Genomic DNA, 13,524 nt, shown 5'->3' on the forward strand with positions numbered 1-13,524 from the left:
GAAAAAAACCTTTTCTATGATAAAATTTAAAATATACGATCAATATTTTTAAAATTAACATCTTTAAAAGGATTAAATTTAGTGAAAAGTAGCAGGAACAATGAAATTTGGAATTAAAGTTTCTATCAGAAAAACACCACGGCCTCTCCATCTACTGCCAGAGCTGGCTTTAACAATTGACGAATACTTATTCTGCAGGGAATTTGTTGATGCAAAACCAGGAAACAATTTATCTCCACTGGGAATACTTTGAAGAAGGGATTAGAGCGGGGCTAGGGCAGGGAGGATCTGTAAAAAACAATATTTGCCAAACTAAAAACACATAGGCACACATGGGAATTATTTTACTTTCAACAAGTTCTGAAAGTAGTAACAAAACCAGGGAGAGTTAAAAGAATAATTTAACACTGATGTTTCAGGAATGCTAAAGGAGACCAGGCATTTAGACTTCATGTTGCTAAGTGTGTTCATCTCAAATCTAAAAGCCACTTTCATAACAACAACTTTGCTATTCCTTAGCATTTTGTCTCTTTAGGCAGCTTATTTCCCAGTCAAAGTTATAATTTTGTATTCATAATACCATAATCATTTCCATGGTAACTTCCTGTGAAGTCACAGAGAAAACACTATTGACTTCTCCTGAGGCTCTGATTTCCCAGTTGAAATCATATGTTGATTTTATTTTTTCCAATGTAAGTCAAAGATTTACTATTAAAAATCCTGGGGATGAGGTCTTAACACAGAAAACCCATCTGTCGTCGCTACAGAGGCAAGTAGAGAAACCTAGTAGCACAGGATACTTGGTCCAAACTGCAAGGACCTGTACCAGGAGTCAGTGAACTTGGGTTCACACCCCAGCTCTGACAGCTATGAGAGAGGAGTCTTTGGACACAGTATCTAATGTTCTCAAGTTTCCCTTTACCCATCTGCAAAATGAAAAAGTATCTCATAATGTTGTGAGAATTAAATGAGAGACAATGCTGTCAGCTTAAAAAAAAAAAATCTCACTCCCCCAAATTTACAGTTATCTCTGACCTCAGGATATAGATACTGAGTTGCAATGGAAGTACTTATTCAGCAAATATTTATTAAGGGCCTACTTCGTGTTCTTGGTGCCGGGAAGACAAGGAATAGTGTTAGTGCTTTGGCCCTAACATAAACTGTTTCTTTATCCTGATGCTTCAGTTTAATGTTTACCTCCCTCCGTAGGAGGCTAGTTCTTGGTATGAGGTCAACCTTGACTCTCAGCCCTCTCTATTTTTCTCTTGTGCCCACATATCAAGGCAAATAGAGTACAAATTTTAAAGCCTCAAACAGTGAGCCTCTGTGGATGAGAAATGAAGTCCAGGCTGGGCAGCACTGTTTCAATTTACCATCTCATCTGAAGGAGGGGATGTGGTTCCTTTTAAAGGACAATGTATAATGAATAAAAACCTTCAGCTTACAGCTAGCTTATAATTAGTATTTGGGTTAATAACACAGTGACAATTGTCTGAACCTCTGAAAACACAAGGGTAGTAAATACCTACCTTCAGAAACCAAAGCATCAGTTAATTCCAAGCCTGCCTCCCTATTTCTACAGAAATAACACAATAATTTTACCTAGCAACTTCAAGAAAAGTGGAGAAATAGCTTATGACAAAAAGAAAACCTAACCCCTTTGAATCCCTTAGATATGTTGTTGTCATCAGATACTTAAACTTTGTACCTAAAGTAAAGCTTAATAAATTTACCATTATAAATGTTGAGGTGGTCTTCAATAAAAGAAACTTTAAAAAACTGGCAATTGTGTGCTTTCTGAGCAGGAAAACAATTTAAAATGTATATATCTAAAGGAAGAAGACATAGCATTCTGTATCTAGATAGCAATGTATATCCTCCTGAACACTATTTGGGATAGACAGCTCTTGGAGAAAAAAAGGTCTATGGTAAGCATGGAAGGGCTCTGAGAAGTTCTGCAGCAAAGAAACCTGTTTATTGTTAAGAAAATGCTAAACAAGCATTTTCCAAAATTATTTGACCAAACGTCTCACAGAAAACACTTAAGAACATGCTGTTATTTAGTAAGCCACACATTCACATAGCTGCTAAAGTGTATCACAGAGTATCAACTCATAACTCAAAGCATCTTGCTCTTTGTAGTTGAAAGAGCAAATAAAAATATCCCAGAACTGGCCAAGCACGGTGGCTTATGCCTGTAATCCCAGCACTTTGGGAGGCTGAGATTGGTGGATCGCTTGAATCCAGGAGTTCCAGACCAGCCTGGGCAACATGGTGAAACCCCACCTCTACCAAAAATACAAAAATTAGCCAGGCACGGTGGTGTGCGCCTGTAATCCCAGCTACTTGGAAGGCTGAAGTGGGAGGATGGTTTGAGCCTGGGAGGCAGAGGTTGCAGTGAGCTGAGATGGCACCATTGCACTCCAGCCTGGGCAACAGAGCCAGACCCTGTCTCAAGAAAAAAAAAAAAAAATCCTGGAATTCTGTTCTAATTGCTCTGCAATCCCTACCAGAAACAAGAATTTCCTTCTGTAAGTGTATGGAATATTTAAATGATAGAAAAGAATGTAAGCTGTTTTGCTTGTTTGGTTGAAGATACACTTATACCTAGAACAGTATCTGGTACACAAAAATAACTGTGAAACGAATGACTGAATAATCTCCGTAGTTTTCTTATCTTCTCTTCCATACTCCCTACAAGATACTAGAGATCTGTGATTCTACAAAATTATGTATTTAGAAGCACATTACAGAAAATAACGCAGACACTGGTACTAAACAGATAGGGTTTTAAAGTCTGGTTGCACTACTAATTAGCTATGTGACCTTCAGCAATTACTTTTTACAAAACGGGAATAAACTTTTTATCCCACAGGACTACTATGAAGAAAGCGCCTGGCATAATCTTGGCACATCGAAGGCATTCAAAAAATACCAGTCGTCTCTCTTCACTCCCTCTAACTCTAACTCATTTTAACCTCATTTAAACTTTGAGGAAAAAGAACTCAAGGGTAAGTAAAACTTCCTGGTGGATTATCAAATGAGATGAGGTAAACCAAAACAAACAAATCCCACAGAGAATATGATGAAAACAGAGTTACTTTCTAAAGACTGCAGCACTGTTCCTCAGGTGCTTCCCAAAGGTTCCGAGTACTGTAGTTTACGTTTCAGGTGTGCATCTTCTTTTAATCAAACTAATTCAATGAATTTCCAGCACCTCATTTCATTCAATCATCCTATTCTCTGTCAAAGGTTTTATCTCCCTCAAAATCAAAACAACATATTTTTATAATAATGTCTCTTTCTCCCAACACTCAAACAAAAAACTTAAACCAAGTTTAACACTCCACATATATTAGAAACAGCATGAAGTAATGAAGTAGAGTATTCAATACACAATTAGTTTACAGAAATTACACTAACTCTTACCTGGTTATCACATATATTACCTTCTCTTTTTTTTTTTTTTTTTTTGAGACGGAGTCTCATTTTGTCGCCAGGCTGGAGTGCAGTGGCGTGATCTTGGCTCACTGCAATCTCTGCCTCCTGGGTTTGAGTGATTCACCTACCTCAGCCCCCTGAGTAGCTGGGACTACAGGCATGCACTACCACGCCCGGCTAATTTTTTGTATTTTAGTAGAGACGGGGTTTCACCACTTTGGCCAAGATGGTCTCGATCTCCTGACCTCGTGATCCACCCGCCTCGGCCTCCCAAAGCATTGGGATTACAGGCGTGAGCCACTGAGCCCCGGCCACCTTCTCCTTTTGAAGAGTCTGAGCTCATATTTTATCTTGTTTCTGACATTTGAAAAAAAAAATTCTAATATTAAGAAGCTGCTTGCTGATTTTTAAAAAGGCTTCACGAGAGGACTGAAGTTTCTTTTTCTGGGTCAATCAGTCATTAGTAAACTAAGGAAAAGGAGGAATCATACATTAAAAGGGAAATTTACTAGCAACATGCAGTGGAGTTACCTGATGTGCTGACAGAGTAACAAGGGAGTGAAGGGAAATAGCTTCATTAAATGAACTATTTATGTTCCAGTAAATCCAGTGTTTTAAAATTCTGACATTTGTTTTGAAACCAGATTCAGATTTTGTACATAGTATTTCTTTGTTGGCAAGAGCTGGAAGAAAGTTAATGCCAATAAGTCTAGCTTTTTTGCATATGCTTTTTGTGTGTTAGGGTATCAGAGGACCTATGAATCAGGTCAAAATTAACACCACATGTGTATGTCTTTGGAGAAACAGAAATGACTTGTCAGATTTCTATCATAAAAACTAATTTATATTTTTGTAATCCCACTGATAAGGTAGTAATAAGCATGGCAACTCTCCCAAGTGCTATCTCTTTTATATTAATAACTGATTTTGTAAAAATAAGATCAAATCACCAAAAACTGCAGGCCAATTTCCAGGCATGTCAACATACTGCCTGCCCTGAACTCCAGAGCACAGTGCAGCACTGAGCATATCCTTCTTGGGTTCTTTTTTCCCATTTGCTCTCATTAAAGTGTTGACAAATACGCACCTGTCAGAAAATCTTCAGCATATTTTTTCACTCTGGAAGGAGCCCAATGAATGACGTTAGCAGGACTAATAAATTTCTCTTTCCCTTTCTTGAAATTTACCAACGTACCATACCAACACAATGAAATTTTTCTGACTCAAGGAAAGCAAAAGAGACCCCAGGAATATTTAAAGAATTTCTCAACCACAGATATAGACATGTACAAAACCCATATCCTGACTTGAGAAAACAAACATGTATCCAAAGGAGATTTCAAATCCTTGGCAAAAATAGCCTATGAAAAAAGCAATTTTTGGCTCATTGGGGACATTTACATTTTGGGCCTTTTACAACTGGTTCTCTCCTTCACTGCTAACATCACAAAAACAATATATTCATATTTTTAACTGATAGTTTTAAATGGAATACATAGTGATAAAACTGGGGAACACAGCAAATGCAAACATTAGTGACAAAGAAAAGTCTCTTTCAAGATCAATAATTTCAAGGATTTTAGAACAGTGGTGCTAAAGAGCATCTCTTGCATATCACAACTCTCAAGAGAACATTAGGAAAATATGATAAAACCTATGGAATCTTCACTGCTATAAATGACAGCACTTCTAAATATTTGAAAATGATATCTTAGCATGCCACACATGATTCAATCTAAAATGGATATTTGAAGTCCCACTGGATTCATCCCCCTTTGCAATCATTTAGTGACCCACGCCCACCTAGGAGTTTGCCAGCACTGCCCTAGAGTCTAATATCCATTCAAGGGGCTGGGGGAAGGGGGGTGGTTCACACCCATAATTCCAGTACTTTGGGAAGCCAAGGTGGGAGGATGGCTTGAAGCCAGGAGTTTGAAACCAGCCTATGCAACATGGTGAGACTCCGTCTCCATAAAAAATTTTTAAAAATTATATAAAAACAAAAAAAGTCCATCAAGGGATTCACTTTAAATAAGTGAAGTCAAGAAACATTTGGGACAAGTGCTTATTATGTGCAGTGTTCATCACTGCTGCTACAAAGATAAATTATACAGAGAATCCCTGCCCCAAGCTAACAGGATACCTTGGGTGCATCAAAGGTCTAACCTTTATAGGGTGCACAGAGGAAAACACACAAGCCATGGGAGACATAAGAAAATGACATGTAGCGTTGCATTCATTTTACCAGTGGGAAATAAAGAACCAATAAGGTCAATGACAAAATGAATAGAGAATTATCTATTATAAAAAGAAAGAGGCCAGGTTCAGTGGCTCATGCCTGTAATTCTAGCACTTTGGGAGGCAGAACTGGGATCACTTGAAGCCAAGAGTTCAATACTGGCATGAACAACATAGTAAGACCCCATTTCTCTTTTTTTTTTGAGACAGGGTTTCACTCGTCACCCAGGCTGGAGTGCAATAGCATGATTGTAGCTCACTGCAGCCTTGATCTCCCAGGCTCAAGCTATCCTCCCACCTCAGCCTCCCAAATAGCGGGGCTACAAGTGGGTGCTACCATGCCTGGCTAACTTTTTTCTCTAAAGCAGAGACAAGGTTTTGCTAGGTTGCGCAGGCTGGTCTCAAACTCCTAAGCTCAAGCAATCCTCCTGCCTCAGCCTCCCAACAGGCTGGGATAATAAGAGCCTGGCCAAAAGACGCCACCTCTACAAAAAATAAAAGAATTAGTCAGGCATGGTGGCATGCTCCTGTACTCCTAGTTACTTGGGAAGCTAAGGCAAGAGGGTCACTTGAGCCCAAGAGTTTAAGGTTACAGTGAGCCATGATCGTGCCACTGTGCTCCAGTCTAGGTGACTGAGTGAGACCCTGTCTCAAATAAATAAGTAATTTTAAAGAGAAATGAGATCTAATTTCTGGATATTATACCATTTGCTAAACCAAAATTCCTACATTTTAAAACAAGTCATATACCAAAACCTTTTAGGATTACACTCTGGCCTCTGAATCAACAATACCCTAAGAAGAACTGCCAAGACTAGAATTCTGTCCATAGTATGTGGTCAGCTCTGCAGTGGTCTTTCTCATTCTTGAGGCAGTCCAGGTTCTGGATGCTTCGAGCTTTGCTATGAAGATAAACCCAACTCTAGAATGTGATGGCTGGGCCAGTCCCAGTCAATCTACATCTACGTAAGACACTTGTTTAGAAAGCTCCCTTTTTCTTAACTCCTTGTCTACTATGTCAAAAGCCAAGACTCAGCAGAGGACAAGAGACAGTTGTTTATACAGGTGCCACTTTCTAAAGGGTCCTCACAGAAGCAAACCTCTCCCCACAGAGCTGGACTCAGATCACAGGCCTAATGACACCATGGGGGGTGTCAGTAGGGGTGGGGGGATCCTGCACCAAAGAGAGAAGCAGGGTCCTGGGATGAGGGGGATGGGAACCAAAACAAAATTGAATGAGCATAGACTCTACTTTGCCAGGCTTCCACATCTGGGGGTAGGATGCTATGCACTAGGTAACATGAAACATACTAAAATAAAAGCATACGTGGAAACGTAAAGATTGAACCCAGAATTGCTTATTTAAGTCCTCAAGTTTTTTTTTTTTTTCCTAAAAGGAAACCACATTCCTTCACTAACCCTCCTTCATCCCCACCCCCACTGCCTGACCCCAAGTAATAGCCGTTTCTGTCCAGAGTTTAAATGACCTCTGCCCTTCCACCCACTTTATCTTCTATAGGAATTTCATTCATCCTTTTGTTGCCCACTGGAACACATTGTGCCCTCATTTTCCCTCTCACTTTTAATCATATGCCTAAAGAAAGTCTTGTAATAGGCAAAGGAAGCAGCAATGGGTAGGGGAGAAAAGATGAAAATTAAGTCCTACTGTGATAAAATTATACTTCTTTTTAGTAGGACAGACACAAATGTTTCTTAAAAATATGAGTGTATGTGTATGATATAATAATAAATAATTGTTTTCATTCCTAATTACTAAATTAAGAACATATAATCTAAAAGGCAATTAGTCATCTTAGTTATACCAATTTCACTCTGTCTTAGTGCCCCAAGGAGAAGAGGAGATGACACACACTGAGTTTTGAATCAGGCATCAAACATCTAGTCTGAAGCTGCATCAGGCTTGGCATCAAACATCTAGTCTGAAGCTGCATCAGGCTTGCCTTATCTCTCTGCCTCCTTCATTCAGGTCCAGCTCCTGGAAAGCTACCCAACATTCATTTCAAGTCCTTTGTAATTCAAGGGAAAGCCAAGAAGTAGGAGTGGGCCTACGCAGAAACCCCTGGGCATGAATAAAGATTTGAGAACTTTTCTCAAGATAGTTACTGTGACTAAAAAAATAAGCAAGGGACTGAAAAAAAGAAAAAAAAGAAAAGAAAGAAAATGAGACAAAAGATGAAAAACACACCAAACAAAATAAAAAATGAGGCAGTAGGACAGGGCGTGGTGGCTCACGCCTGTAATCCCAGCACTTTGGGAGGCTGAGGAAGGTGATCACTTGAGGTCAGAAGTTCGAGACCAGCCTGGCCAACATGGTGAAACCCCATCTCTACTAAAAATACAAAAATCAGCCAGACACGGTGGCACGCACCTGTGATCCCAGCTACTCAGGAGGATGAGGCAGGAGAATCGCTTGAACCCAGGAGGCGGAGGTTGCAGTGAGCTGAGATCATGCCACTGCACTCCAGCCTGAGTGACAGAACAAGACCCTGTCCGAAAAAAAAAAAAAAATGAGGCAGCAAGTTATAGAAAAAGAGTGTCCTTTCAGCCAACTTGTCCTTCAGTTCTCAGATAAGGATCCACTTCATCCGGGATGCTTTCCCTGATGCCAAGTCAGTTTAAGGTATCGTCCCCCGGGAACTCTCCTACTACATTCCTCATCCTACAGCACCTATCCTCGTGGGCTGTAATTAAATAGTTAACAGTCCACCTTCCCTACTGGAATAACAGAGTGAGGACAGGGACCATATCTTGCTTGTAATTGCAGTATTTTCAGTATCAACATTAGCTCATGGTGAGAGTCAGTAAGCACTATTAGAAAAGTAAACAATATAAGTTCAAACCCTGGTCCCACCATTAACTCACACTGTGACATAAATATACTCAAGTTTGCTTATCTGTAAAATGAAGATAAGAAGATAGATAACACTGTAATGTACCGGAAAGTGTTGGTGCAATTCATGCCATGCAATAAATGTTAACTGCTTTTTCTTCATGCCCTTTCTTTTATTTTTGGAGACAGGGTCTCACTCTGTTGCCCAGGCTGGAGTGCAATGACACAATCACGGCTCACTGCAGCCTTGACCTCTCAGGCTCAAGCGATCCTCTCTCCCTAGTCACCCAAGTAGCTGGGACTACAGGCACGCATCACCACACCCAGTTAATTTTTGTATTTGTGTTTTTTTGTAGAGATGGGGTTCGCCATGTTGCCCAGGCTGGTCTCAAACTCCTGAGCTCAAGCAATATGCCTGTCTTGGCCTCCCAAAATGGTGGCACCACAGGCATGAGGCACCATGCCTGGACTCTACACGCCATTTTATTAGTTCTCAAACCTCTATTCTGATAGGTCCTTTCCTGCCTTCCTCTCTCACTAATGCATCTCCTCCTCAACTCCATCTGGAGTCTTTCTGCTATTTTACCCTTCTCTCCTCTTGCCCTTCCCTCCTACTCTCCTTTCAATATTCATTTCCCTTACATATTTGCATCATCTTATAATGAAGAATTATTTGCATTTGAAAACTGAACTTTACCTTCTAATTCACATGAAGACAAAACACCTTATATGACTACTTGGCTCATACTCCAGATATGCTTTAACCTATGATTATTTGTAGAATGATTGAAAAATCTGAGTAAATGCTAATTCTATAAATTACAGTGAAACATTATGCAGATTTTAATCTATCACTTCCAAAAGTGGTGTAAGCCTCTTTTAAAATTAAATAAAACCCTACTAAAATAGAATTACATTTATGTAAATTATGTATGCAAAATATTTTCTTTTCATAATAACATGTTAAATTAAGTTTAGCCTAAAGTGGCCTCCTTACATATTTTAGGTTCTGCCTAAAAGTGTCTCCATGCATAGTCGACTGTGACCTGACTGGATGTGTAAAAAGACTGTAAACTACCCTTGTGTCAATCACTGAGTTTCAGCCAATTAAAGGCTGTTCCAATATCATATTCAAATAAGGTTCAAAACATCAAGCTATAATGAAGACAGTTGTTTCTGTACCTCAGTTCCATTTTCTGTACATCACTTTCCTCTCTCTGTCCACAAACCTTCAACCATGCACAGAGCCGGAGTCTCTCTCAACCTATTCTGGCTCAGGGACTTCCCGATTTGCAAATTGTTCTTTACACAATTTAGCTTGTCTAAGGTTTCACTTTTAACACATGCATAATTTAGCATAATTATTACTTAATTTTTGTGATGCAGCTTTAATGCTCTCAAAAAACCTCACTTCCTCAAAACATATTTATTTTTATAGAACAATGCAAATAAGGACAAAAGACAAAACACTTATATCCTTAAACCCAAAATCCCATAAAATATCTCTACTGACCTTTGGTGAGCAGGATTTAGTATTATGACCCATTCTCCAAAGAAGAAACTAGCCGGGCACGGTGTTGAGCACGGTGGCTCATGCCTGTAATCCCAGCACTTTGGGAGGCCAAGGCGGGCAGATCATGAGTTCAGGAGATCGAGACCATCCTGGCTAACACAGTGAAACCCTGTCTCTACTAAAAATATAAAGAATTAGCTGGGCGTGGTGGCAGACGCCTGTAGCCCCAGCTACTTGGGAGGCTGAGGCAGGAGAATGGCATGAACCCGGGAGGCGGAGCTTGTAGTGAGCTGAGATTGGGCCACTGTACTCCAGCCTGGGCAACAGAGCGAGACTCCGTCTCAAAAAAAAAAAAAAAAAAAGAAGAAGAAACTAAATCAAAGAACGCCAAGCTACCACCTCTCCCTGGAGAACTGAGAATAAGCAGGTTATCGCAATAGCACTTGTCTACTATGAATAAGGGACGAGTCTAAACTGTACTTAGTACAATTCAAATGAAGGCCTGCGTGCTTCTAGAGCATTTTTCATAATTAAAAGGGGGGAAGTGTTATGAACAATTAAAGCCTAGATACAGATGTGTGAATGTATGTGTGTGGTTTATGGATGAAAATATTCTCAAGTTTTATTTCAGTATATGTCAGAGAATCTGTCAGATGCCAATCAAACTGGCACATCACACTGACTCCATCCCAAGTCACCATCTGGATAACTGCACTCCTGACACCATCTCTTGGAGAGGGGGCTTTTCAATGTAATGAAAATATCAGAAAAATTGCAAAAGTCACTGTTACATGTTTTTTCCCAAATGTAACTAATCATTTCACCTGCCATTCCATTACTTAGTTTTTTGTTAATAATGTTGGAAGTAATAAAGGTTTCTATAAGATCTTGTTTTCTAATTTTTTTTTCTTTTCTTTTCTTTTTTTTTTTTTTTTTTTTTTTTGAGACAGAGTTTTGCTCTTATTGCCCAGGCTGGAGTGCAATGGCACGATATCAGCTCACTGCAACCCCCGCCTCCCGGGTTCAAGCGATTCTCCTGCCTCAGCCTCCCAAGTAGCTGGGATTACAAGCATGTGCCACCATGCCCAGCTGATTTTGTATTTTTAGTAGAGACAGGGTTTCTCCATGTTGGTCAGGCTGGTCTTAATCTCCCGACCTCAGGTGATCTGCCTGCCTCAGCCTCCCAAAATGCCAGGATTACAGGCGTGAGCCACCGCGCCTGGACTATTTTCTAATTTCTAAAAGATTCTCTGAAATATTTAATCAATTACAAAGAAAAAGTAAAACTTTCTGGCTTGATACAAGAGAATGACACAATAATCCCAGGACTTTTTAATATTTAAGCAAGTATCTATATGTTTTTTCCCTTTTCATAATTTCCTTCCATTTTTTTCCCTTTTAAAAAGACTCTTTTACAGCAGTTTTAGGTTCACAGCAAAACTGAGCAGGAAGTACAGAGAGTTCCCATATACTCCTAAACACAGACAAGCACAGCCTCTCCTACAATCAATATCCCTAACCAAAGGGGTACATTTCTTACAATCAGTGAACCTACATTGACAAGCATCATCAACCTAAGTCCACAGTTTATATCAGGGTTCCCTCTTGGTGTTCTATGCCATGGTTTTGGAAAAATGTTTAATCACATGTATCCACCATTACAGAACCATACAGCATAATTTCAGTGTTCAAAAAAATCCTGCGTGCTCAACTTACTCATTCTCCCTGCCCCTTAACTTCTGGCAACCACTGATCTTTTTACTGTCTCATAGTTTTGCTTTTTCCAGAATGTAATATAGTTCAAAGGACATTTTGGTTGCTTCCAAGTTTTGGCAGTTATGAGTAAAGCTGTTATAAATATCCATGTGCAGGTTTTTGTAAAGACATAAGTTTTCGACTAACTTAGGCAAACACCAAGCAATGCACTAGATCATATAGTAAGAGTATGTTTCGTTTTGTAAGAGACTGCCAAATTGTCTTCCAAAGTGACTGTACCATTCTGCATTTCCACCTGCAATGAATGAGAATTCCTGTTGATCCACATTCTCACCAGCATTTAGTGTTGTCAGTGTTCTGGATTTCTGTCATTCTAATAGGTACCTGGTGGTAGCTCACTTTAATCTGCATTCCCTAATGACATGTGTGTGAAGCATCTTTTCATATGCCATATGTATATCTACTTTGGTGAAGTGTCTGTTCAGGTCTTTTGCCCATTTTTCAATCCAATGGTTCATTTTCTTACTATTGAGTTTTAACAGTTCTTTGTACATTGTACATTTTAGCTAACAGTCTTTTATCAGATATATCTTTCACAAATATTTTCTCCTAGTCTGTAACTTGCCTCATATTCTCTTGACAGTGTCTTTTGCAGAGCAGAGTTTTTAACTTTAATGAATTTCAGCTTATCGAATGTTTCTTTCATATACTGTGCCTTTAGAATGCATCTAAAATGTCACCACCAAATCTAAGTTCATCCAGATTTTCTCTTCTTGGAGTTTCATAGTTTTGTGTTTTACATTTAGATCTGTGGTCCATTTTGAATTAATTTTTGTGAAGAGTATAACGTCTGTTTCTAGATTCATTGTTTGCATTTGAATGTCCAGTTACTCCAGCAGCCATTTGTTGAAAACACTGTCTTTTCTCCATTCTATTATTTTTGCTCCTTTGACAAAAGGTCACTTGACTATATTTATGTGAGTCTATTTCTGGGCTCTCTAATCTAGTTCATTAATCTGGTTTGTCTTTCTTTCACCAACACCACACTGGCTTGATTGCTGTAGCTTTACAGTAAGTCTTGAAGTTGGATGGTGTGAGTCCTCTTTGTTTTTCTCCTTCAATATTGTGTAGGCTATTATGGGGCTTTTGCCTCTTCATATAAACTTCAGAATCAGTTTGTCAATATACACTGATATAGTTTGGATGTCTGTCCCCTCCAAATCTCATGTTGAAATGTAATCCTCAATGTTGGAGGTGGGGCCTCGAGGGAAGTGTTTGGGTCATGGGGGCGCACCTCTTATGAGTAGCTTGGTACTGTCCTTGCAATAATGAGTGAGCTCTCACGAGATCTGGCTGTTTAAAAGTGTGTGGCACCTCCTCCCTCACTCTCTTGCTTCTGCTCTTGCCATGTGAGGTACCTGCTCCCACTTCATTGTCTGCCATGAGTAAAAGCTCCCTGAGGCCTCACCAGAAGCCAGGCAGATGCCGGCACCATGCTTCCAGTACAGCCTGCAGGACTGTGAGCCAATTAAACCTTTTTTTCTTTATAAATTACCCAGCCTCAGATATTCCTTTATAGTGATGCAAAAATGGACTAAAACATCCACAAAACAACTTGTTTGGATTTTGATTGGGATTGTGTTGAATCTATAGATCAAGTTGGGAAAAAAACTGACATCTTGACAATATTGAGCCTTCCTATCCATGAATGTGGATTATCTCTCATTTGTTTTTTATTTCTTTCATCGGATTTTTGTAGTTTTCC

General features: G+C 39.4%; 1 protein-coding gene across 1 annotated transcript in view, besides 1 other annotated feature; it reads right to left on the minus strand.

The window, feature by feature from the left end:
- Positions 1 to 13,524, minus strand: part of SH3RF1 (SH3 domain containing ring finger 1) — a 176,698-nt gene that overhangs the window by 106,837 nt on the left and 56,337 nt on the right. The gene's annotated exons all lie outside the window — the stretch shown is intronic.
- Positions 9,849 to 9,898: an enhancer, noted in NCBI's record as "active region_22132". NCBI's record gives its function as "activates an Ori minimal core promoter by ATAC-STARR-seq in GM12878 lymphoblastoid cells {active_cell/tissue: GM12878}" and the evidence as "EXISTENCE:reporter gene assay evidence [ECO:0000049][PMID:35858748]".

This window comes from Homo sapiens, chromosome 4 (assembly GCF_000001405.40).
Source record: "Homo sapiens chromosome 4, GRCh38.p14 Primary Assembly".
Classification (NCBI taxonomy): Eukaryota; Metazoa; Chordata; class Mammalia; order Primates; family Hominidae; genus Homo; species Homo sapiens.